Source organism: Homo sapiens, chromosome 2, assembly GCF_000001405.40.
Source record: "Homo sapiens chromosome 2, GRCh38.p14 Primary Assembly".
In the NCBI taxonomy this organism is placed as follows: Eukaryota; Metazoa; Chordata; class Mammalia; order Primates; family Hominidae; genus Homo; species Homo sapiens.
The window spans coordinates 32,275,651-32,298,867 of NC_000002.12; the positions used below are offsets into that span (position 1 = coordinate 32,275,651).

The following is a 23,217-nucleotide window of genomic DNA, read 5'->3' on the forward strand; positions in this document are numbered from 1 at the left end:
AAAAAGACACAGAGACAAAGTATAGAGAAAGAAATAAGGGAGCCCAGGGGACCAGCGTTCAGCATACGGAGGATCCTGCCAGCCTCTGAGTTCCCTTAGTATTTATTGATCATTCTTAGGTGTTTCTCAGAGACGGGGATGTGGCAGGGTCATAGGATAATAGTGGAGAGAAGGTCAGCAGATAAACACGTGAACAAAGGTCTCTGCATCATAGACAAGGTAAAGAATTAAGTGCTGTGCTTTAGATATGCATACACATAAATATCTCAATGCCTTACAGAGCAGTATTGTTGCCCGCATGGCCCACCTCCAGCCCTAAGGCAGTTTTCCCCTATCTCAGTAGATGGAACATACAATCGGGTTTTATACCAAGACATTCCATTGCCCAGGGATGGGCAGGAGACAGATGCCTTCCTCTTGTCTCAACTGCAAAGAGGCATGCCTTCCTCTTATACTAATCCTCCTCAGCACAGACCCTTTACGGGTGTCGGGTTGGAGGACGGTCAGGTCTTTCCCTTCCTACGAGGCCATATTTCAGACTATCACATGGGGAGAAACCTTGGACAACACCTGGCTTTCCTAGGCAGAGGTACCTGCGGCCTTCCGCAGTGTTTGTGTCCCTGGGTACTTGAGATTAGGGAGTGGTGATGACTCTTAAGGAGCATGCCGCCTTCCAGCATCTGTTTAACAAAGCACATCTAGCACAGCCCTTAATCCATTTAACCGTGAGTTGACACAGCACATGTTTCAGAGAGTTCGGGTTTGGGGCTAAGGTTATAGATTAACAGCATCTCAAGGCAGAAGAATTTGTCTTAGTACAGAACAAAATGGAGTCTCCTATGTCTACTTCTTCCTACACAGACACAGTAACAATCTGATCTCTCTTTCTTTTCCCCACAATCACCCATCAAATTGGCATGTTTTAAAAAATGGTTATATTCGGGCTGGGTGCAGTGGCTCACGCCGGTAATCTCAGCATTTTGGGAGGCCAAGGCAGGCAGACCACAAGGTCAGGAGATCGAGACCATCCTGACTAACATGGTGAAACCCCGTCTCTGCTAAAAATACAAAAAATTACCCAGGCGTGGTGGCAGGCACCTGTAGTCCCAGCTACTCGGGAGGCTGAGGCAGGAGAATCGCTTGAACCCTGGAGGCGGAGGTTGCAGTGAGCCGAGATCGCGCCACTGCACTCCATCCTGTCGACAGAATGAGACTCCGTCTCAAAAATAAATAAATAAATAAATAAATATTAGCCAAACATGGTGGCAGGGGGCTTGTAGTCCCAGCTACTTAGATAGCTGAGTTGGGAGGACTGCCTGAGCCCAGGAGTGTGAGGTTACAAGGAGCTATTACTGCACCACTGCACTCCAGCCTGGGTAACGGAGCGACCTTGTCTCTAAAACAAACAAAACCACTACATTTACTCATCCTTTAAGTACCAACATGTTACCTCCTGTGAGAAAATTTTCCAGAAATACCATTTAACACACTAATAGACATGTCTCTCGATTGCTCTATTGCTGATCAATTGTGTATTTCTCCAAGTTGGCCTCCTAATATACCCCAACCCCTCTTTCTTCAAGTTGGAAGCCACATTTATGTAGCTTGAATATTAAAGTTACGTATGTAAACATTTAAAAGCAGGTGAGTTTGTTAACTTCGGCAAGCTTATCAGTAGACAGGGCCTTCCAGTGAAAAGAGCACTTGACTAGAAATTAGGAGATTTAGGTACTGTCCTAAATCTGTTTCTACCTTACTTTCTCTGGCCTCAGTTTTCTCCCTCATAAAGGAATGTATCTACAGCCCTAGTCTCTGGGTGGCGATTTACGGCTTCTCTGCCTTTTATCTTCATTCTCCGATCCATCCCTCTTCATCTTACAGGTGAGGAAACTGCCATCCAGACATTACATATAACTTAGTCAAGATCCTACACTATTAATTAATGGCTAATGGCAAGGGAATCTTGAGATCCTGTACGGCGGCTGACCCATAAAATCTACCTAGTTCTAAAATTCTTTAACCCACCCACTTAACAAAAACGGAGGTAATAGGTAAACAAAACGCCAGGAAAGATCGCACTTAAAGGAACAAAAGCACCCAAGGAGGAAAAAGAGGCCTGAGATTTCCACGAATTACAAGTGAACTTCCTGTCCTGGGTAAACTTCCGGAATCAACAACAGGAAGACCCAATCAGAATCTTCCTCCGGGAGCCAATGGGAGAGCACATTACAAAGAGCCAATCCCAGCGCCGCTGTCACTGTTATGGTCCTGTCAGGGTGCCGGCGTCGTGGTGCTTGGGTGGTCGCCACCAAGAAGACTTTGGTGGGGTAGTCTCGGGGCAGCTCAGCGGCCCGCTGTGCCCGTTTCTGGCCTCGCTCGCAGCTTGCACGTCGAGACTCGTAGGCCGCACCGTAGGGCGAGCGTGCGGGTCGCCGCCGCGGCCGCCTCGGGGTCTGGGCCCAGCCGCAGCCTCTTCTACCGCGGCCGGTTGGGAGTCGCCGCGAGATGCAGCCTCCGGGCCCGCCCCCGGCCTATGCCCCCACTAACGGGGACTTCACCTTTGTCTCCTCAGCAGACGCGGAAGGTGAGGCTGAGCCCCTGGAAGGGCTATCACCCGGAGGAAGCCAGGGCCCGACGCCGTAGGGTCTTTCTGGTGCCGAGGTGGTCGTGGCCGGGTGGGGACAGGCAGGAAGCTGACTGGTGACTGCAGCCCACCACGCCTGCCGGGCCTTCCGAGAGGCCCCGAAGGACGGAGGGAGGGGTGTAGGGAGCTGCTTTTTAAAGCATCAAGTTACTCGGTCAGCCCTTGGTTTTCCCCATACCGTCTGGTGGCTGGTTTTTCTGGGTGGCTTAGTCTCTTCAATTGGACCCACAAAATCCTAAGCTTTTAGTTCTGGAATTACTCGCCCTTACTCAGAAAAAGGACAGATTGGCCAAGGGAGATCTCAAAGAATGAGAAAAAGGAAGGAGGGCTGTTTTCTTCTGTTATGTATCAACAGATAATTTTTTGGGGGGGGTCTGGGATCAGATTCGGCACTGCAAATACAAACTAAATGGTTTTTATTGAATTTGATGTCTTGCCCGAGTCCCCGTTTTCCTCGCATTTTGTAATGTTTCACCTCAGTATTCAGAGAAATTGACGCAGGTATATTGGAAGTTTAGTGTAAACCAACAATGTGTTTCCAGTAGCCTCTACAGATTTCCTTGTATTATTCTGAGGAAGCGATTGTGCTGGAGATATTTTCCTACAGCACAGGAGAATGTTTCCCTCCTATTCTCAGTTCCCTATCCAACTCATAACCTGGATATTATTCTGCTAGTCATTTTCAATTTTTTTTTTTTTCTTGAGCTCTGTCGCCCAGGCTGGAGTGCAGTGGCGCGATCTCGGCTCACTGCAAGCTCCGCCTCCCGGGTTCACGCCATTCTCCTGCCTCAGCCTCCCGAGTAGCTGGGGCTACAGGCACCCGCCACCACCCCCGACTAATTTTTTTTGTATTTTTAGTAGAGATGAGGTTTCACCGTGTTAGCCATGATGGTCTCTCGATCTCCTGACCTCGTGATCCGCCCGCCTCGGCCTCCCAAAGTGCTGGGATTACCGGCGTGAGCCACCGCGCCCCGGCCATTTTCAAATTTTTATTACACTTCGTGCACCAGTTATTTTCCAGTGACCAGACTTACTGGCTGCTATGAAATCATAAATTATGTTTACAGAAATTTCAGTCTGAGAAAGAACCTAGATTTTCCTTTTTTTTTTTTTTTTTTTTTGAGACTGAGTCTCGCTCTGTCGCCCAGGCTGGAGTGCAGTGATGCCATCTCGGCTCACTGCGAGCTCTGCCTCCCGGGTTCACGCCATTCTCTGGCCTCAGCCTCCCGTGTAGCTGGGACTACAGGCGCCCGCCACCACGCCCGGCTAATTTTTTTTTTTTTTGTATTTTTTTTTAGTAGAGACGGGGTTTCATAGTGTTAGCCAGGATGGTCTCGATCTCCTGACCTCGTGATCCGTCCGCCTCGGCCTCCCAAAGTGCTGGGATTACAGGCGTGAGCCACCGCGCCCGGCCGAAAGAACCTAGATTTTCCTAAGAAATTTTATGGTGTATCAGTATAGCTTGTTTTCCCTTTTGTTTTTCTTGTTGTGCTGTTTGGCATTGTTTTTTAAAAATAGTACTGGTCATAATTTAAAATGTACAATAAAATTTTTGTCTATCAAAGGGAACATAGCTGAGACATTTATTTTTTTTTCTCTTATGTTCTTTTTTTTTTTTTTTGAGGTGTGGTCTCACTCGGTTGCCAGGCTGGAGTGCAGTGGTTTGATCATAGCTTACTATAACCTCAAATTCCTGGGCTCCAGTGATCCTCCCGCTTCAGTCTCCTGAGTAGCTGGAGACCGTCTGGTGGCTGGTTTTTCTGGGTGGCTTATTCTCTTCAAGTGGACCCATGAAACCCTAAGGTCTGTGCCACCGTGCCCAGCTAATATATATATATATATTTTTTTTTTGAGGCGGAGTCTCACTTTGTCACCCAGGCTGGAGTGCAGTGGTGCAGTCTTGGCTCACTGCAAGCTCCGCTTCCCAGGTTCATGCTATTCTCCTGCCTCAGCCTCCCGAGTAGCTGGAACTACAGGTGCCAGCCACCACACCCAGCTAATTTTTTTGTATTTTTTTAGTAGAGACGGGGTTTCACTGTGTTAGCCAGGATGGTCTTGATCTCCTGATCTTGTGATCCGCCCAGGCTAATTTTTTTTTTTTTTGAGACAGAGTCTTGCTCTGTCGCCCAGGCTGGAGTGCAGTGGCGCAGTCTCAGCTCACTGCAAGCTCCGCCTCCCGGGTTCACGCCATTCTCTGCCTCAGCCTCCCGAGTAGCTAGGACTACAGGCGCCCGGCACCACGCGCGGCTAATTTTTTTTTTGTATTTTTAGTAGAGACGGGGTTTCACTGTGTTAGCCAGGATGGTCTCGATCTCCTGACCTCGTGATCTGCCTGCCTCGGCCTCCCAAAGTGCTGGGATTACAGGCGTGAGCCACCGCGCCCGGCCTAATTTTTGAACATTTTGTAGATCTCACTAGGTTGCCTAGGCTTGTCTCAGATTCTTGGCCTCCCAAATTGCTGGGATTACAGATGTGAGCTACCAGCCAAGCCGTAAATTTCTTTTAAACTGAGATACAGCACCCCAAAATATTTCAATTTGTTTCATCTACATTTGGTAGCATGGTGCTTAGGGAGGAATATCAACTTTAATTTCCCAGGTTTAAAAAAATTGTTTAAGTGTCAGAACATGATGTTTGTTCAAACTCATGTTTCCATGTATTTGTTTATTTTTTTCATTCTCCCTTCCCTGAGGAATTACTTTTTTTAAATATGCCTAAGAAATCCGACAGAATAATGTAAGTAGATAACCCATTGATTCCACATACTAAGAAACCTGAAATAAGTAAAAATCCATGAAGTTTATTCAAACTTCTCTGTATTTCCTCAGGAGACATATAGGTCTGTATATCCACGGAGCTATATGTATATGCATAATATCCTCACACAATATTATATCGTACAGTTTAAATTTAGAGTATTTTAAGTATACTACTCATTTGATCTTTTTTTTTTTTTCCTTTTTTGAGACAGAGTTTCACTCCCCTTGCCTAGGGTGGAGTGCAGTGGCTTGATCTCAGCTCACTGCAATCTCCACCTCCTGGGATCAAGTGATTCTCCTGCCTCAGCCTCCTGAGTAACTGGGACTACAGGTGTACGCCACCATGCCTGGTTAATTTTTGTATTTTTTGTAGAGACAGGGTTTCGCCATGTTTCACAGGCTGGTCTTGAACTCCTGGGCTCAAGTGATCCACCCACCTTGGCCTCCCAAAGTACTGGGATTACAGGCATGAGCCACCACACCCAGCCTCATTTGTTCTTTATAAGACTCCCAGTGAGCTTTATTATTCCTGTATTCTATAAAGAAACTGAGGTGAGCTGGGTGTGGTGGCTTACACCTGTAATCCCAGCACTTTAGGCTGAGGTGGGCAGTTGGCTTAAGCTCGAGAGTTTGATACCAGCCTGGGCAACATGGCAAAACCCCATCTCTACAAAACATACAAAAAATTAGCCGGGCATGGTGGCACGCACCTGCAATCCCAATCCCAGCTACCTAGGAGGCTGAGGCAGGAGAATCACTTGAACCCAGAAGGCAGAGGTTGCAGTGAGCCAAGATCATGCCATCACACTTCAGCCTGGGTGACAGGGTGAGACTCTGTCTCAAAAAAAAAAAAAAAAAAAAAGGCAACCATGGTAGTGCACACCTGTGGTCCCAGCTACCATGGGGTCAGCTACTCTGAGTCTCACTTGAGACTGGGAGGTCTAGGCTGCAGTGAGCTGTGATTGTGCCAGTGTGCTCCAGCCTAGGCAACAAAGCAAGACCCTGGCTGAAAAAAAAAAAGGAAAAAAAGAAACTGAGGCTTAGAGAGGTTTAGCAATTTTCACATGCTAGATCTGGAATTAAGAGCTAGTCTACAGCCAGGTGTGATAGCATGCACCTGCGATCCCAGCTACTCAGGAGGCTGAAGCAAGATGATTGCTTGAGCCCAGGAGTCTGAGGCCACCCAGGGGAACGTAGTGACACCCCATCTCAAAAAAACAAAACCAAAGAGCTATTCTGCTATCTCCTCAAGTTTCTTTCTACTGTCTCTTTCTTACATTTTTCTAAATTGTGTATCTGAAGTATGGAAGAGTCCTGGATTTGCATCCTGGCTTTATCAATTACTCTCCATGTGATCTTGGGCAAGCTACTTACCTTTTTTGTTTTGTTTTGTTTTTGAGACGGAGTCTCGCCCTGTCGCCCAGGCTGGAGTGCAATGGCACCATCTTGGCTCACTGCAACCTCTGCCTCCCGGGTTCAAGCGATTCTTCTGCCTCAGCCTCCCAAGTAGCTGGGATTACAGGCTCGCGCCACCACACCCAGCTAATGTTTTGTATCGTTAGTAGACACGGGGTTTCACCACATTGGCCAAGCTGTTCTCGAACTCCTGACCTCGTGATCCACCCGCCTCAGCTTCCCAAAGTGCTGGGATTACAGGTGTGAGCCACTGTGCCCCGCCAACTTACCCTTTCTTAACCTCATTTTCCTCATATACAAATTGGGAATAAGAATACCCAAGTGCAGGCCAGGTGGGTGGCTCACGCCTGTAATCCCAGAACTTTGGGAGGCCGAGGTGGGCGGATCACGAGGTCAGGAGATCAAGACCATCCTGGCTAACAAGGTGAAACCCAGTCTCTACTAAAAATACAAAAAAATTAGCCGGGGGTGGTGGCGGGTGCCTGTAGTCCCAGCTACTCTGGAGGCTGAGGCAGGAGAATGGCGTGAACCTGGGAGGTGGGGCTTGCAGTGAGCCAAGATCGCGCCACTGCACTCCCGCCTGGGCGACAGAGTGAGACTGTCTCAAAAAAAAAAAAAAAAAAGGAATACCCAAGTGCTCAAATACTTTGTAAATGTAAAACATTTACTACTATATCTGGCAGAGTTAAGTGTTCAACATATGTGAGTAATGATGTTGCTGCTTGGGTTTCAGTGTTAACTGACCCCACACTTTTTTTTTATTGTTTTCCAACATGAACATTTTACTGTACAACTCCGGGTCTTTTCCCTGGTTTCTACACGTCATATAAATTCTTGCTTCTCCCCTTTTTATAGTGTTTTTTAACCATGAATATTTTCAACTTACAGATGTTTTCAGTGTATAACCTTCCTTCTAGATTCTGTCCAAATCCCTCATTCTTAATGATAGCTATCCTTACTATTTCTCCACACATACCCTTTATTCTAAAATGTGCTTTGGTGTTTTGTCTCCATGTGGATGCAGATTCTGATCATCATGCTTAGAATGTCTTTCTCCTCCTCGCCTTAAGTTAAAACCTAAGACTGAACTCAAATGCTCTTTCCTTGGTAAAACTTGCTTTAACTGTCCCTCAGAAACGGAAACTTCCTAATATTTTCTATACCCCAGTACCTATCATAGAACCCATGGTATAAATATCACAAAAGAATTATTTGTTGAATAAATTATTTTTGCTTTCATTTATCTCATGTCTTTTTTTTTTTTTGAGACAAGAGTCTCGCTGTGTTGCCCGGGCTGGAGTGCAATGGCGCAATCTTGGCTCATTGCAACCTCTGCCTCCCAGGTTCAAGCAATTCTCCTGCCTCAGCCTCCCAAGTAGCTGGGATTACAGGTGCCTGCCACCATGCTCGGCTAATTTTTGTATTTTTTTAATAGAGACGGGGTTTTACCACGTTGGTCAGGCTGGTCTCAAACTCCTGACCTCAAGTGATCCGCCCACCTCTGCCTCCCAAAGTGCTGGGATTGATTACAGGCATGAGTCACCACGCCAGGCCTAATATCACTTCTTAATTTAAGCTTTATGGTATTGTTTGCCCTTCCATCAATTAATTCATTCAATAAGCATGCACATTTGTTGATTGCCTACTATGGATCAGGCACTATTATAAGTACTGGGGATATATGTACCAAGACAAATGCCACCAAAAATCCCAAATAGTCTCTCCTTTCATAGATTTTATAAACAACCAAGTAATTACACAAATATATAATTATATATAGTGATAAATATCGTGAAGGAAAAGTGGAGGGAACTGTGAAAGGAACTTACATAGTCTAGTCTGCAGGATCAAGGAAAATTTGCTTAAGCGAGTGTAATGGTTTGGATTTGTGTCCCTGCCCAAATCTCATGTTGAATTGTAATCTTCAGTGTTGGAGGAGAGGCCTGGTGGGAGGTGACTGGATCATGGGGGTGGACTTCCCTCTTGCTGTTCTTGTCATAGTGAGTTCTCACAAGGTCTGGTTTTTTAAAAGGGTGTAGCACCTCCACTGTCTGTCTCTCCCTCCTCTGGCCATGTAAAACTGCCTGCTTCCCCTTTGCAATCTGCCGTGATTGTAAGTTTCCTAAGGCATACCCAGCCATGCTTCCTGTAGAGCCTGTGGAACTGTGAGTCAAACCTCTTTTGTTTATAAATTACTCAGTCTCAGGTAGTTCTTTAGAGCAATGCAAGAATGGACTAATACAGCAAGTATATCTGAGAACTGAAGAATGGATGGCATTTAATTATCTGAAGTTGGAGGAAACAGCCTGGCACAAGGTCCCTGAGACAAACAGAATCCAGGTTCATTCAGAGAAATGAGAGGCTTAGTGTGGCTAGGGTATAGAGTCCAGATTGAGAGGAGAGCAGGTAAGTGGGCCTGGATAAGATAGGGCATGTAGAGATTATTGGACTTGAGCTAGAAAAGCAACTGGGGGAGGGAGATGAAGGATTCTAAACAAAAGAGTGAAATATTTGCATCTTAGAAAGAGTCTCCGGGGTACAGTGAAGAGTATGGATTGGAAGGAGACAAGAATGACTGGGGGGAGGGCAGTTTGTACACCATTATAATCATGCAGACAGGAGTTGATGGTTTGCATGAGCTTGCTACTGGTGGTAGAAATGGTAAGTGGACAGACATTTAAAAATATTTAGAGGTAAAACTGACAATTTAGTGGTGGTTTGGATGGAGAGGAAGCATGCAAATAAAGCAAACTGTCAAGGATAAGCTTCTAGCTTACAATGCTGGATAGATTAGTAGTATCATTTAATGAAAAAAATGGAGGAAGACCTGAGATATATCAGTTTTGGAATATTGAATTTTAGATGCCTTTGAGATAGATGCAAGGAAATGTTGACAATAGGTTATATAAATCTAGTGAAGAGGACTGGACTCAATATATTGCATTTCAACCTTGGCCTTCTTCAGTCTTTTTATCCCTATATAAAAATTATAATACCTGCAGCTCACAATACAGTGATCAGTAAATTGTAGATAATTACTATCAGTGTTCTTTTGAGTGATACTTTTCTGTCACTCTGTTATTGTGACCATTTCAGCCTATTCTTTGTTTGAAATTCCCCCTTCCCAGAAAGGATGTCACCTCTAATACAAGTTAGTAATGTAGACAGAGGAATCTTTAGTTTTTCCTTTTTTTTTTTTTTTTGGAGACGGAGTCTTGCTGTGTCACCCAGGCTAGAGTGCAGTGGTGCGATCTCAGCTCATTGCAACCTCCACCTCCCAGGCTCAAGCAATTCTCCTGCCTCAGCCTCCCAAGTAGCTGGGATTACAGGTGCTCGCCACCGCACCCGGCTAATTTTTGTATTTTTGGTAGAGATGGGGTTTCACTGTCTTGGCCAGGTTGGTCTCGAAGTCTATGATTCCTACTTATGAAAAATAATATCCATATAGGTCTAGTCTTATCACAAATGTTTTCTATACAATATGCTGGTGAAGTATGATATATAGTATGTAATGGGTGCAAGAATAACTTTTATTTCCTTTTTGAAAACTGAAAATGACATTTTAGCCAACCTTTCTTAGGGGAGTTAAACAAGGTTTACTTTTTTCATTAATTAATCTACTTATTTGCATGAGTTTTAAAACTCATAAGGCATTACACAAATCTACAAATGTGATTAAATTGCATAGAACTATAAACACATATACACACACACAAATGAGTGCATGTCAAACTGGTGAAATCTGAATAAGGTCTGTGGATTGTACCAGTGTCAGTGTCCTGAATTTGATAGTTATGTGAGTTTGTACTATTGGGAAAAACTGGGTAAAGGGTACATAAGACCTCTCTTTTCCATTTTTGTAACTTTCTATGAATCTATAATTTTTCAAAATAAAAATTTAAAGACATAAGACAAAAGAAATTTCATCTTTTTGTTTATCAGATAAATTACAGAATTTAATTATTTACAGTATGAAAATTTACCTATAATATTTGATAGAAAAACTACTAAAACCATAAACCAGAACAACATGATTAAAAATATAACCTAAGACAAAAATTTATACAAGACTTTGAAAAAAACATTTTTTTTTTTGAGATGGAGTTGCGCTCTGTTGGCAGGCTGGAGTGCAGTGGCGCGATCTCAGCTCAGTGCAACCTCCACCTCCCGGGCTCAAGTGATTCTCCTGCCTCAGCCTCCCGAGTAGCTGGGACTACAGGCGCACGCCACCACACCCAGCTAATTTTTGCATTTTTAGTAGAGACAGGGTTTTACCACGTTGGCCAGGATTGTCTCGATCTCTTGACCTCGTGATCTGCCCACCTCGACTGGGATTACAGACCTGAGCCACCCCACCCTGCTGAAAAAAACATTTTCTTACAGAGTAACGTGATCAAGCTCCAGTATAGGTCTAGCAGTTACAAGATTATGCACATGCATTAGTTTCTTGATCTCTTTCATAGGCCTATGTATACATTAAAATGGTATCCTTAGGCCAGGCACAGTGGCTCGTGTCTTTAATCCCAGCACTTTGGGAGGCCAAGGCAGGTGTATTACATGAGGCCAGGAGTTCAGGACCAGACTGGCCAACATGTTGAAACCCCATCTCTACTAAAAATACAAAACTTAGCTGGGCATGGTGGTGCATGCCTGTAATCCCAGCTACTCGAGAGGCTGAGGTAGTTGAATCGCTTGAACCTGGGAGGTGGAGATTGCAGTGAGTTGTGATCATGGCACTGCACTCCAGCCTGGACAAGAGAGTCTGTCTCTAAAATAAATAAAATGGTATCCTTATAACTCAAATGAAATAATGAAATTTATTAATATCTTTTAGTGCAAAAACATATGCTTGTTTTTGTTTCTGTGGCACATATACACAACTCTGGGTCATACTGAAGCACACATAGACTTCATTTTCAAGTCTGAGATGAGATGAAACGAGATGATTTTTGTCCTTGCTCTTGTTGCTTATTAAATAAGGAAAAGCTTCTTTACGTATATAAGAATGTGTCAAGTGCCACAAAATGTTCATTGTTTATTGCAGGATACTCTTCTTTCACAGAAATCGGGAACTTGTCTAGGGGCAGATCAGTAGTAAATTTCATCTTCAGTGTACTATCACACTGCACTGTGAGAATTTTTCACATTCTCAGGCTGAGCAGAAGATTCAGAGAAAGGACCCCATACCCAGTCATACATTTGAGTTGAAAGGGAAGAAAAATTCCTGTTAAATTTTGTTGTGTGGGTTTTCCAAAGGTGGCTTTCAGTAAGACTTGAAATTTACTGATACTCTTCACTCTGAGCCAAAACAGCTGTAGAAACATTTTTAAAATTTCCTTTTACAATAGATTTTTTAAAAGATTGTATCTTTTTAAATCCACTTTTATATTTATTATCCTTTACATTGTTTTTACTTAGGAAATGACAAGAATATTTTATATATAGTATAGTAAGGAAGAATTAACCTAAAATTCATGTTTTACTATCTGGACGTCTATCCAAGAGCTGACAACCAAGCTAGCTTGTTCTTACTCTGGTTTAAATTAAATCAGCCATGCTCCTGGAGTAATTTTTAATTGTTTTTCTTGCTCTCTGACATCATTCTCCACTTGTTAACTTGATAACATGTTAAACTACTACTAATTTTTTGGACTTTCCTGTTCTTTCTCACTGACAGTTATGTCTTGGGGGTCCTGGGGGAGGTGTCAAACTGCTATTGTTGGCATTCCTACATATGTCCTTGATATTTTTTCTACTTTACATGGAACAGAAAGTACTAGAAAATTTGTAAGCTGAAGATGCCTTTTTGAGGTTCTTGCATCTGCGCTATGACAAACTGCTAAACATGTACAGTTCTTGAGCACAACATTCCTTAGCACTATAATTTATATATCCTTTTTTGGTTTAGATTAAGGACTTTAAGTACAGTCCTTTCTAGAAACCAGGAAACAGTTGTTAAGGTCCTTTCCAGCCTCATAACTGCAAAACCTCTAATGTCACTGCTGTACTAATGATTTCTGGATGTAAATCTTCTTCTTGTTAAGAAAAAACACTCTTGGCCTGGCGCGGTGGCTCACACCTGTAATCCCAGCACTTGGGGAAGGCCAGGGTGGGCAGATTATCTGAGGTCAGGAGTTCGAGACCAGCCTGGCCAACATGGCAAAACCCCATCTCTACTAAAAATACAAAAATTAGCCAGGCATGCTGGTACACGCCAGTAATCTCAGCTACTCAGGAGGCCGAGGCAGGAGAATTACTTGAACCCAGGAGGTGGAGGTTGCAGTGAGCCGAGATTGCCCCACTGCACTCCAGCCTGGGAGACAGAGCAATAAATAAATAAATAAATAAAAATTAGCCGGGCATGGTTGTGTGCACCTGTAATCCCAACTCAGGAGGCTGGGGCAGGAGAATGGCTTGAACCTAGGAGACAGAGGTTGCGGTGAGCCGAGATGACACCACTGCACTCCAGCCTGACAACAGAGTGAGGCTCTGATACAAAAAAAAGAAGAAATAACACTCTTTGTATCTATTAGAAATAGACTTTTAAATTCCACCTCTCTCATTTCAACTTAGACAAAGAAGTAGCAAGCACTTATAAGAGAGTATTTTCACTATGCAATTATATGATAACATGTACAGGGATTATTTTTGAACTTTAAGTGGTGAATTCAAATCTGGTTATATTTTATCTCTGAGTGAGCGCCTTTATAAAAACTTTTTAGAATTATATAATGTTTAACCTGGAAAGAACTTTGAATAGGAAACTAGGGCCCGGAAAACATGAATGATTTGCTGTATCAGTTAGTAGCTAAGCTGGGACTTAGCTTCAGAATGTAAACATTTGTCAAACTTAATTGCAGGAGTTGTCATAAGCCGACCAGGATGTGACTCATAGAGTATTGTGCAAATTAAGCTCTTTGTACTGTATATGAAAAATGGTTTTTTGTTTTTTAAGGAAGCTAACTTTGGTATTGGTTGGACATGATCTCCAGAGAGGTATCTATCTGTGTTAGAGTGTTCTGGTTTGGTGTTTCCAAAAGTATTTTTCTGAAATAATACTATAATCATGTGACTTGCACTGACAGTATTGATGGTTGTTTATTAATGTATATTATCTGGTCCTACAAATGTGCTTTTTCTTTTTAATCCCTATGTGACCTCAGGCAAATCCTTAACTATTTCCATTTTTTAACTAGCAAAGATGGCATTAGTACTACCATGATTATCTGTAACCCCTGAGATACTGTGCAGACTCTACATGGAATTTATTTTTTAATGTGGATAACTGAATCTCTTCACCTCTTGTTAGAGCCGACCTAAAAAATAAAAACAAAAAGAAAACATAGCCTTTATTTATTTTTGCCAAAACTGAAGATGAATGATGTAATTATGTGAAGAAAAGGGAAGTTTTGGCTGAAATAACAGGGGACTCTTACTCATCAGACTTATCAAGAATTAAGCATTAATATATGAAACACTTAGCATAGATATGTGATGATTTAAATGAAAGAATATATGAATAAATAAATACATGAAAAGGTAGAGAAAAATTATCTACGAATTTCCTTTAGTAAATAAATTGTCTAATAGTTTGTATATATACATATGTAATGCCTCTGAAAAGAATTTATTCAGTTACTTTGTTCTGAGGCACATGATATGTGTAAGAATGAAGGAATCCAAAATGATGTCATGTAATGTATTTTGCATATATTTTCCATGGAAATTTTAAGGAATTACTGTTGTTAAGTCTAGATTCTGGTACCAGTCTGGCTAATTAGCTGTGAAACCTTTTGTACGTTTTTTCACTTCTTTCATCTTTCATTTTATTCTTATAAAATAAATGATGGTTTTTAGATGTCTGTCAACTATAAAATTTGAAGATTATATGCAATAGCAGATGTTCTTAGAGATCTTCAAATGATAATTATTTTAGTTGAATATCTGCTCACTTTGGTTAAGATTCACATGTTGTGCCTTAGTTTATATAGTTTTATCCTCTTTTCTCCTAAGATCTCAGTGGTTCAATAGCATCCCCAGATGTCAAATTAAATCTTGGTGGAGATTTTATCAAAGAATCTACAGCTACTACATTTCTGAGACAAAGAGGTTATGGCTGGCTTCTGGAAGTTGAAGATGATGATCCTGAAGATAACAAGCCACTCTTGTATGTAAAAATAATAATATATATTTTTTGTTTTTTGAGCTAGTCTGTGGGATGATTATATTCTTCTTGTTATTTAGAGAGAAAGCATTAACCTTTTTTGGTCAAAAGCTATAGTGATTGTCAATTTTACTAGTAATTTAAAAAACTGAAATAATAATGAGAGAATATTTTTTAACCAATTAAAAGACAAAAATTAAAAGAATGGTAATCCTGTATCTCACACACATGTGTGTCTACTCCAGCTTACCTGGGTCTGTCAGCTATCTGAAGTAATCATGCAATTTAAAAAAGCAGGGCTCTTAGGTACTAGCTGTTGAAATTAAGGTTCGGACAAATTAAGATTTCCAAGAAGATTACCACTCCAAAATCTCTTCAACATAGAAATTCTAGAGCTGCCACTGGGAGGAGAGCTACATATAAAGAGGCTTTCACTTTCTTTATAGTACTTGAAATTTTGTGGTTATCTGGAGAAAAAAGTAAAGAAATAAATAATTTTGAAAAGAAGAACCTATAGCTTTGTAAAATTGAGGCATTTCCAGATTCTTCTTTGTATTAATTATCAGTAGAGTAAGTGCTGAAACATCCTGTGTTTCTTCATGTTAATACACCATATATCGGCCAGGCATAGTGGCCCACGCCAGTAATCCCGGCACTTTGGGAGGCCGAGGTGGGCGAATCACTTGAGATTAGAAGTTCAAGATGAGCCTGGCCAACATGGCGAAACCCCATCTCTACTAAAAATACAAAAAAAGAAAAAATTAGCCGGGCGTGGTGTCAGGGGCCTGTAGTCCCAGCTGCTCGGGTGGCTGAGGCATGAGAATCGCTTGAACCCAGGAGACGGAGGTTGCAGTGAGCCGAAATTGCCCCACCGCACTCCAGCCTGGGTGAAAAAGCAAGACTCTTGTCTCAAAAACAAAGAAACAAACCGTATACCATCAAATCTAAGACACTATTGATTATAAGATGAAGTTATTTTACATATTAATTAAACAGAAAAGTGCGTAAGACGGCATAAAGCTGGGACATCAAAGGGCTATCTCCTTATTAGTGTAAGGATGAATGAGAAATAACCCACAACACAAAGACAGCAAGGAAGTTTGCTTCAGTTTGACAGTGGATAAGATGTTGAAAGAAAGAATTTCCCCAGAGAATATAAAACCTACACTGGTTCTCATATGGGTTTGCAATCTGAATTAGGCCCAAAAAGTCACAAGCAGAAAATTTTACTTAAAGTTTTCTTAAATTGATAGGGCTTCCAGGAGACTGGCAAAAGGAAAGGTAAATATTAGAAACACTTGGCGTCACTCCAGGCTGACGATTGTAAGACTCCAGTGATAGAGATATGTCCCACATTTAGAGATATTGGAATGTTAAAAATGTACAGCTTGGAATTAGTGAAATGTGGCACTTCAAATGCAAATGTTTTGTTGACCTATGGAGATTATAACTGTCTTATTTAAAGTTTTCTTAATTTTTTTTTGGAATTGTTTTAGTATTCAGAAATGTGTGCCTTTTGAGAATTTTTATTTTAAAATTATAGGGAAGAATTGGACATTGATCTAAAGGATATTTACTACAAAATCCGATGTGTTTTGATGCCAATGCCATCACTTGGTTTTAATAGACAAGTGGTGAGAGACAATCCTGACTTTTGGGGTCCTCTGGCTGTTGTTCTTTTCTTTTCCATGATATCATTATATGGACAGTTTAGGGTAAGTATATCTTATTTTATACAAATTCTAAATATTTTGAGAGTTTCAAAAATTAAATATAATAAGATATTAACTGTAATATACCATATTATGTTTGAGAAATGCTTTACCCATTATTTCTCACTTGTTCATCCCTAAAACCGTTCCATAATTAAATAAGTGAGGAGTACCTTAGATTAATGCTTTCAAACTTTTCCACATCATGATTCACATAGAAAGTATTAGTATTTGTGGGCGGGTGTGGTGGCTCACGCCTGTAATCCCAGCACTTTGGGAGGCCGAGGTGGGTGGATCACGGGGTCAGGAGATTGAGACCATCCTGGCCAACATGGTGGAAGCCCTGTCTCTACTAAAACTACAAAAAAAGTATCTGGGTGTGGTGGTGCACGCCTGTAATCCCAGCTACTCGGGAAGCTGAGGCAGGAGAATCACTTGAACCCGGGAGGCCGAGGTTGCAGTGAGCCAAGATCACGCCACTGCACTCCAGCCTGGCGACAGAGTGAGACTCCATCTCAAAAAAAAAAAAAAAAAAAAAGAAAATATTAGTATTTGTATGGCACACTGGGGTAAATGAATAGAACCACTTCCAGCTGACCAGAAGTCACTAGAAGGTGCACCTTCTGATTTTCCCAAGAGATGAACAGTTTGAAATGTAATACTCATATTCATATTTCTTACCTTTTTTTTGATTATTTTTATTTTTATTTTTATTTTTTTATTTTTATTTATTTATTTATTTATTTTTATTGATCATTCTTGGGTGTTTCTCGCAGAGGGGGATTTGGCAGGGTCATAGGACAATAGTGGAGGGAAGGTCAGCAGATAAACAAGTGAACAAAGAAACAAGTGAACAAAGGTCTCTGGTTTTCCTAGGCAGAGGACCCTGCGGCCTTCTGCAGTGTTTGTGTCCCTGGGTACTTGAGATTAGGGAGTGGTGATGACTCTTAACGAGCATGCTGCCTTCAAGCATCTGTTTAACAAAGCACATCTTGCACCGCCCTTAACCCATTTAACCCTGAGTGGACACAGCACATGTTTCAGAGAGCACAGGTTTGGGGGTAAGGTCCCAGATCAACAGGATCCCAAGGCAGAAGAATTTTTCTTAGTACAGAACAAAATGAAGTGTCTCCCATGTCTACTTCTTTCCACACAGACACGGCAACCATCCGATTTCTCAATCTTTTCCCCACCTTTCCCCCCTTTCTGTTCCACAAAACCGCCATTGTCATCGTGGCCCGTTCTCAATGAGCTGTTGGGTACACCTCCCAGACGGGGTGGTGGCCAGGCAGAGGGGCTCCTCACTTCCCAGTAGGGGAGGCCGGGCAGAGGCACCCCTCACCTCCCGGAAGGGGCGGCTGGCCGGGCGGGGGGCTGACCCCCCAACCTCCCGGACGGGGCGGCTGGCCGGGCAGAGGGGCTCCTCACTTCCCAGTAGGGGCGGCTGGGCAGAGGCGCCCCTCACCTCCCGGACGGGGCGGCTGGCCAGGCGGGGGGCTGACCCCCCCACCTCCCTCCCGGACGGGGCGGCTGGCCGGGCGGGGGGCTGACCCCCCCCACCTCCCTCCCGGACGGGGCGGCTGGCCGGGCGGGGGGCTGACCCCCCCAACCTCCCTCCCGGACGGGGCGGCTGGCTGGGCAGGGGGCTGATCCCCCCACCTCCCTCCCGGACAGGGCGGCTGGCCGGGCAGAGGGGCTCCTCACTTCCCAGTAGGGGCGGCTGGGCAGAGGCGCCCCTCACCTCCCGGACAGGGTGGCTGGCCAGGCGGGACGCTGACCCCCCCACTTCCCTCCCAGACGGGTCGGCTGGCCTGGCAGGGGCTGACCCCCACCTCCCTCCCGGACGGGGTGGCTGCCAGGCAGAGACACTCCTCACTTCCCAGACGGGGTGGCTGCTGGGCGGAGGGGCTCCTCACTTCTCAGACGGGGCGGCTGCCGGGTGGAGGGGCTCCTCACTTCTCAGACGGGGCGGCTGCCGGGCGGACGGGCTCCTCACTTCTCAGACAGGGCGGCTGGGCAGAGATGCTCCTCACCTCCCAGACGTGGTCGCGGCCGAGCAGAGGCGCTCCTCACATCCCAGACGGGGCGGCGGGGCAAAGGCGCTCCCCACATCTCAGACGATGGGCGGCCGGGCAGAGACGCTCCTCGCTTCCTAGATGGGATGGCGGCCGGGAAGAGGGGCTCCTCACTTCCTAGATGGGATGGCGGCCGGGCAGAGACGCTCCTCACTTTCCAGACTGGGCAGCCAGGCAGAGGGGCTCCTCACATCCCAGACGATGGGCGGCCAGGCAGAGACGCTCCTCACTTCCCAGACGGGGTGGCGGCCGGGCAGAGGCTGCATTCTCGGCACTTTGGGAGGCCAAGGCAGGCGGCTGGGAGGTGGAGGTTGTAGCGAGCCGAGATCACGCCACTGCACTCCAGCCTGGGCACCATTGAGCACTGAGTGAACCAGACACCGTCTGCAATCCCGGCACCTCCGGAGGCCGAGGCTGGCGGATCACTCGTGGTTAGGAGCTGGAGACCAGCCCGGCCAACACAGCGAAACCCCGTCTCCACCAAAAAAATACAAAAACCAGTCAGGCGTGGCGGCGTGCGCCTGCAATGGCAGGCACTCGGCAGGCTGAGGCAGGAGAATCAGGCAGGGAGGTTGCAGTGAGCCGAGATGGCAGCAGTACAGTCCAGCTTCGGCTCGGCATCAGAGGGAGAGGGGGAGGGGGAGGGGGAGGGCCATATTTCTTACCTTTTATTGACTCATAATTCTGTTCTTAAAATGACCGTTACTTTAAAAGAATGATGAGAAGGATTCCATCAGTATTTGTTTTTATATTACTACTGGTATTTTAATCCCTTTGTCCTACTTTCAGATACTTTATCACCAAAACACAACATATATACATCACTCTCTCATGCCAAATTTAAGGCTTTGAAGGAGTAAAAAGTTACTGTTTACCACAGGGATTTGGAAATGAATGAGTTTCTGGTGGCTGCTCTAATAAACTGCTACAAGCTTAGTGGTTTTAAATAATACAGATTTATTATTTTACGGTTCTGGATGTCAGGAGTCCAAAATGAGTCTTAAAGGACTAAGATCAAAATGTCTACAGGGCTGGTTCCTGTGGAAGCTCCAGGGCAGAATCTGTTGCTTGTTTCTTTCACTTCCAGAGGCTGCCAGCATTCCTTGGCTTCTGGCTGCGTCACTATGATCTCTGTTTCCATGATCACATTACCTTCCCCTCTAATGTACTTAAATCTCCTTCAGTTTCCATCTTTTTTTTTAGACGGAGTTTCACTCTTGCTGCCCAGGCTAGAGTGCAATGGCACGATCTCAGCTCACTGCACTTTCTGCCTCCCGGGTTCAAGTGATTCTTCTGCCTCAGCCTCCTACATAGCTGGGATTACAGACATGCCCCACCACCCCCAGCTAATTTTGTATTTTTAGTAGAGAGGGGGTTTCACCATGTTAGTCAGGCTGGTCTCAAACTCCTGATCTCAGGTGATCCACCTACCTTGGCCTCCCAAAGTGCTGGGATTACAGGTGTGAACCACTGTGCCCAGCCTCAGTTTTCATCTTTTAAGGACAATTGTTACTACATTTAGGGCCCAGCAAGGTAATCCAGAATAATCTCTCCATCACAAGATACTTGATGCATTACTATACTAGTCCTATTAATATTTACACTAGATTAGTAGTTTATATCAGATGTTATGTTAAAGTGTTGCAAAGACCACTGAAGAAGGTGAATGGGGACTCTGGTCTCCTACCTACCACTGGTTCTTCATCTAGAACATCTCTAATTGTATCTGTTTTGTATAATCTTTCATTTGAACAAAGGGTTCTAAGGTTAAAAACAGAAGATTACGGCTGGGCGCAGTGGCTCATGCCTACAGACCGAGGCGGGTGGATCATGATGAGGTCAGGAGTTCAAGACCAGCCTGGCCAACATGGTGAAACCCCATCTCTCCTAAAAATACAAAAATTAGCTGAGCGTGGTAGCAGGTGCCTGTAATCCCAGCTACTCAGGAGGCTGAGGCAGAGAATTGCTTGAACCCGGGAGGTGGAGATTGCATTGAGCCGAGATCACGCCACTGCACTCCAGCCTGGGTGACAGAGCAAGACTCAGTCTCAAAAAAAAAAAAAAGGAAAAAAAACCCCAGAAGATTACTATACCATCATAGAACGTCACTCATTTTGGATTTCCTTGATGTTTTCTCATGATTTGATTTGGATTATGCATTTTTGGCAAGAATATCACAGAAGTGACATTGTCCTGCTCTCTGTATACTAACAGGGAGTATGTGATACTGATACGTCTTATAACTGGTGATGTTAACCTTGATCACTTGGTTAGGTGATAGGGTAGTATCTGTTCAATTTCTCCAGTATAAAGTTACTATTTTTCTCTTTGTAATTAATAAATAGCTTATGGAGGTACTTTGCAACTATGCAAATATCCTGTTTCTCATCTAACTTTAGCCTACTAATTTTAGCATCCATTGGTAGATCTTGCATGCAGTAATTATTACTATAATGTTTACAGAATGATGATTTTTCTGTTTCCCTCAATCATTTTATTTGAGTTATAATCCAGTACTGTCATAATTTATTTCATCGCTCAGATTTTTCAAGCTTTAACCATTGGGAGCTCCTTCAGCTTGCATTCTGTCTCGTTTCAACATATCCCATTCTTTTTTTGAGTACTTCCTTTCCTTCTTACTTCACACAGTGTTCTGGGCTAATCTTGTATTTTGCCTGCCCCAGCCTTGGAATCAACCGTTTTTTTGTTTTTTTTTTTCTTGAAATGGTGTTTCACTCTTGTCGCTCAGGCTGGAGTGCAATGGCGCAATCTTGGCTCACCGCAACCTCTGCCTCCCAGGTTCAAGCGATTCTCCAGCCTCAGCCTCCGGAATAGCTGGGATTACAGGCATGTGCCACCATGCCCGGCTAATTTTGTATTTTTTTTTACAGGGTTTCTCCATGTTGGTCAGGCTGGTCTTGAACTCCCGACCTCAGGTTATCTGCCTGCCTCAGCCTCCCAAAGTGCTGGAATGACAGGCGTGAGCCACTGTGCCTGGCCAACCATTTCTTTAAGAAGTCCTACTTCCTTTAATTAGGAAATGATACTTAGAAACCAGTTTCTGGGGTTGGTCATGGTGGCTCACTCCTGTAATCCCAGCACTTTGGGAGGCTGAGGTAGGAGGATCACTTGAGCTCAGGAGTTCGAGACCAGCCTGGGCAACATAGTGAGACCTGGTCTCTATTAAATAAATAAGTACATGACCAAATAACATAGCAAGACCTCGTCTCTATTAAATAAATACATAAATAAAATAATAAATAATAAAAGAAACCAGTATCTGGGTGATAAATGTGCTTATGTTGCTACTGGGGTATTATTTCTAGACCATTCCAGCAGACAGCTTCAAAATACAAATATATGTATGTATTGTTACACCAAGTTTGAGGAGTTTAAAATTGTCTGAAATGGCTTCCATATTCCATTACTTGAATAAATATGTAATCTAAATTTTAAAGACTTCCAGAGAAGATTGGTAACTTGCTTCAGAAATAAATTTTTCTTCTGGGATGCTGTAAGACAGGGGGTTGATAGTAAACACTTTTTTTTTGCAATAATCTTTTATCATAGATTTTGAAATACTGAGGTTTCTTTAGGCAATTGATAATTGCTAAGATTTTAATTTGGATGTAAAATTGTATTACACATTGTATTCTTATTAAGTTTTGGAGTAATACCTGAGAGCCCACATAATCTCTCTATGACCTGAAATTGGGCATGCTAAACTGTCATTTATGGCAGAGAATCGAGTTCCTGGAAAATTATCATCTTATTTGGTATAAAAATATTAATTGCATGATTTTTCCCCCTAAGGTGGTCTCATGGATTATAACCATTTGGATATTTGGTTCACTAACAATTTTCTTACTGGCCAGAGTTCTTGGTGGAGAAGTAAGTAGTTTATTTTGAAAATAATCTTCCTTATTTATGGTGAGCTTAGTTTTTGATACTGCAGATATCATCATTAGCTATACAAGAAACTTTCTTGTCCCAGAATTGCTTTATGCTAGTTCCTTTAAGATGATCAACATATTAGTATTGTGCTTACTCAATAAATAGTACAAGAAATGAGGAAAAAGAAAATATCCCGTCCCATTTATGAAGTAATTGCAGCCTTTTAGGGAAGCATATAATTTATTTATTTTTTATTTATTTATTTGAAATGGAATCTTGCTTTGTCATCCTGCTGCAGTGCAGTGGGGCAATCTCGGCTCATTGCAGCCTCCGCCTCCCAGGTTCCCGATTGTCCTGCCTCAGCCTTCCGAGTAGCTGGGATTATAGATATGTGCCACTATGCCCGGCTAATTTTTGAATTTTTAGTAGAGACAGGGTTTCACCATGTTGGCCAGGCTGGTCTTGAACTCCCAACCTCAAGCGATCTGCCTGTTTAGCCTCCCAAAGTGCTGGGATTACAGGAGTGAGCTACTGCGCCCAGACAAAATTTATT

The 23,217-nt window shown here is 43.5% G+C and overlaps 1 protein-coding gene across 3 annotated transcripts in view, besides 4 other annotated features; it reads left to right on the forward strand.

Annotated features, from left to right (window-relative positions):
- Positions 1,369–2,114: an enhancer, noted in NCBI's record as "H3K27ac-H3K4me1 hESC enhancer chr2:32502088-32502833 (GRCh37/hg19 assembly coordinates)". NCBI's record gives its function as "activates a minimal SCP1, AML or CMV promoter by ChIP-STARR-seq in naive H9 embryonic stem cells {active_cell/tissue: H9 hESC(naive)}" and the evidence as "EXISTENCE:reporter gene assay evidence [ECO:0000049][PMID:30033119]".
- The window catches only part of YIPF4 (Yip1 domain family member 4), a 38,691-nt gene continuing 17,727 nt past the window's right edge, over positions 2,254–23,217 (forward strand). For 2 of the 3 annotated variants that reach the window (NM_032312.4, XM_005264599.4), the window contains exons 1-4: positions 2,254–2,584; positions 14,833–14,986; positions 16,527–16,698; positions 22,584–22,661. In NM_032312.4, the coding sequence (NP_115688.1) occupies positions 2,506–2,584; positions 14,833–14,986; positions 16,527–16,698; positions 22,584–22,661 (483 nt within the window). In that variant the 5' untranslated portion in view covers positions 2,254–2,505. The remainder of the gene's footprint in view (positions 2,585–14,832; positions 14,987–16,526; positions 16,699–22,583; positions 22,662–23,217) is intronic. The other variant, XM_024453173.2, reaches the window with a different exon arrangement.
- Positions 2,352–2,461: a silencer, noted in NCBI's record as "silent region_11340". NCBI's record gives its function as "represses an Ori minimal core promoter by ATAC-STARR-seq in GM12878 lymphoblastoid cells {active_cell/tissue: GM12878}" and the evidence as "EXISTENCE:reporter gene assay evidence [ECO:0000049][PMID:35858748]".
- Positions 17,303–17,975: an enhancer, noted in NCBI's record as "NANOG-H3K27ac-H3K4me1 hESC enhancer chr2:32518022-32518694 (GRCh37/hg19 assembly coordinates)". NCBI's record gives its function as "activates a minimal SCP1, AML or CMV promoter by ChIP-STARR-seq in naive and primed H9 embryonic stem cells {active_cell/tissue: H9 hESC(naive and primed)}" and the evidence as "EXISTENCE:reporter gene assay evidence [ECO:0000049][PMID:30033119]".
- Positions 20,492–20,685: a silencer, noted in NCBI's record as "fragment chr2:32521211-32521404 (GRCh37/hg19 assembly coordinates)". NCBI's record gives its function as "represses an EF-1alpha promoter that drives an FKBP-Casp9 reporter gene in an ReSE screen in K562 erythroleukemia cells {active_cell/tissue: K562}" and the evidence as "EXISTENCE:reporter gene assay evidence [ECO:0000049][PMID:32094911]".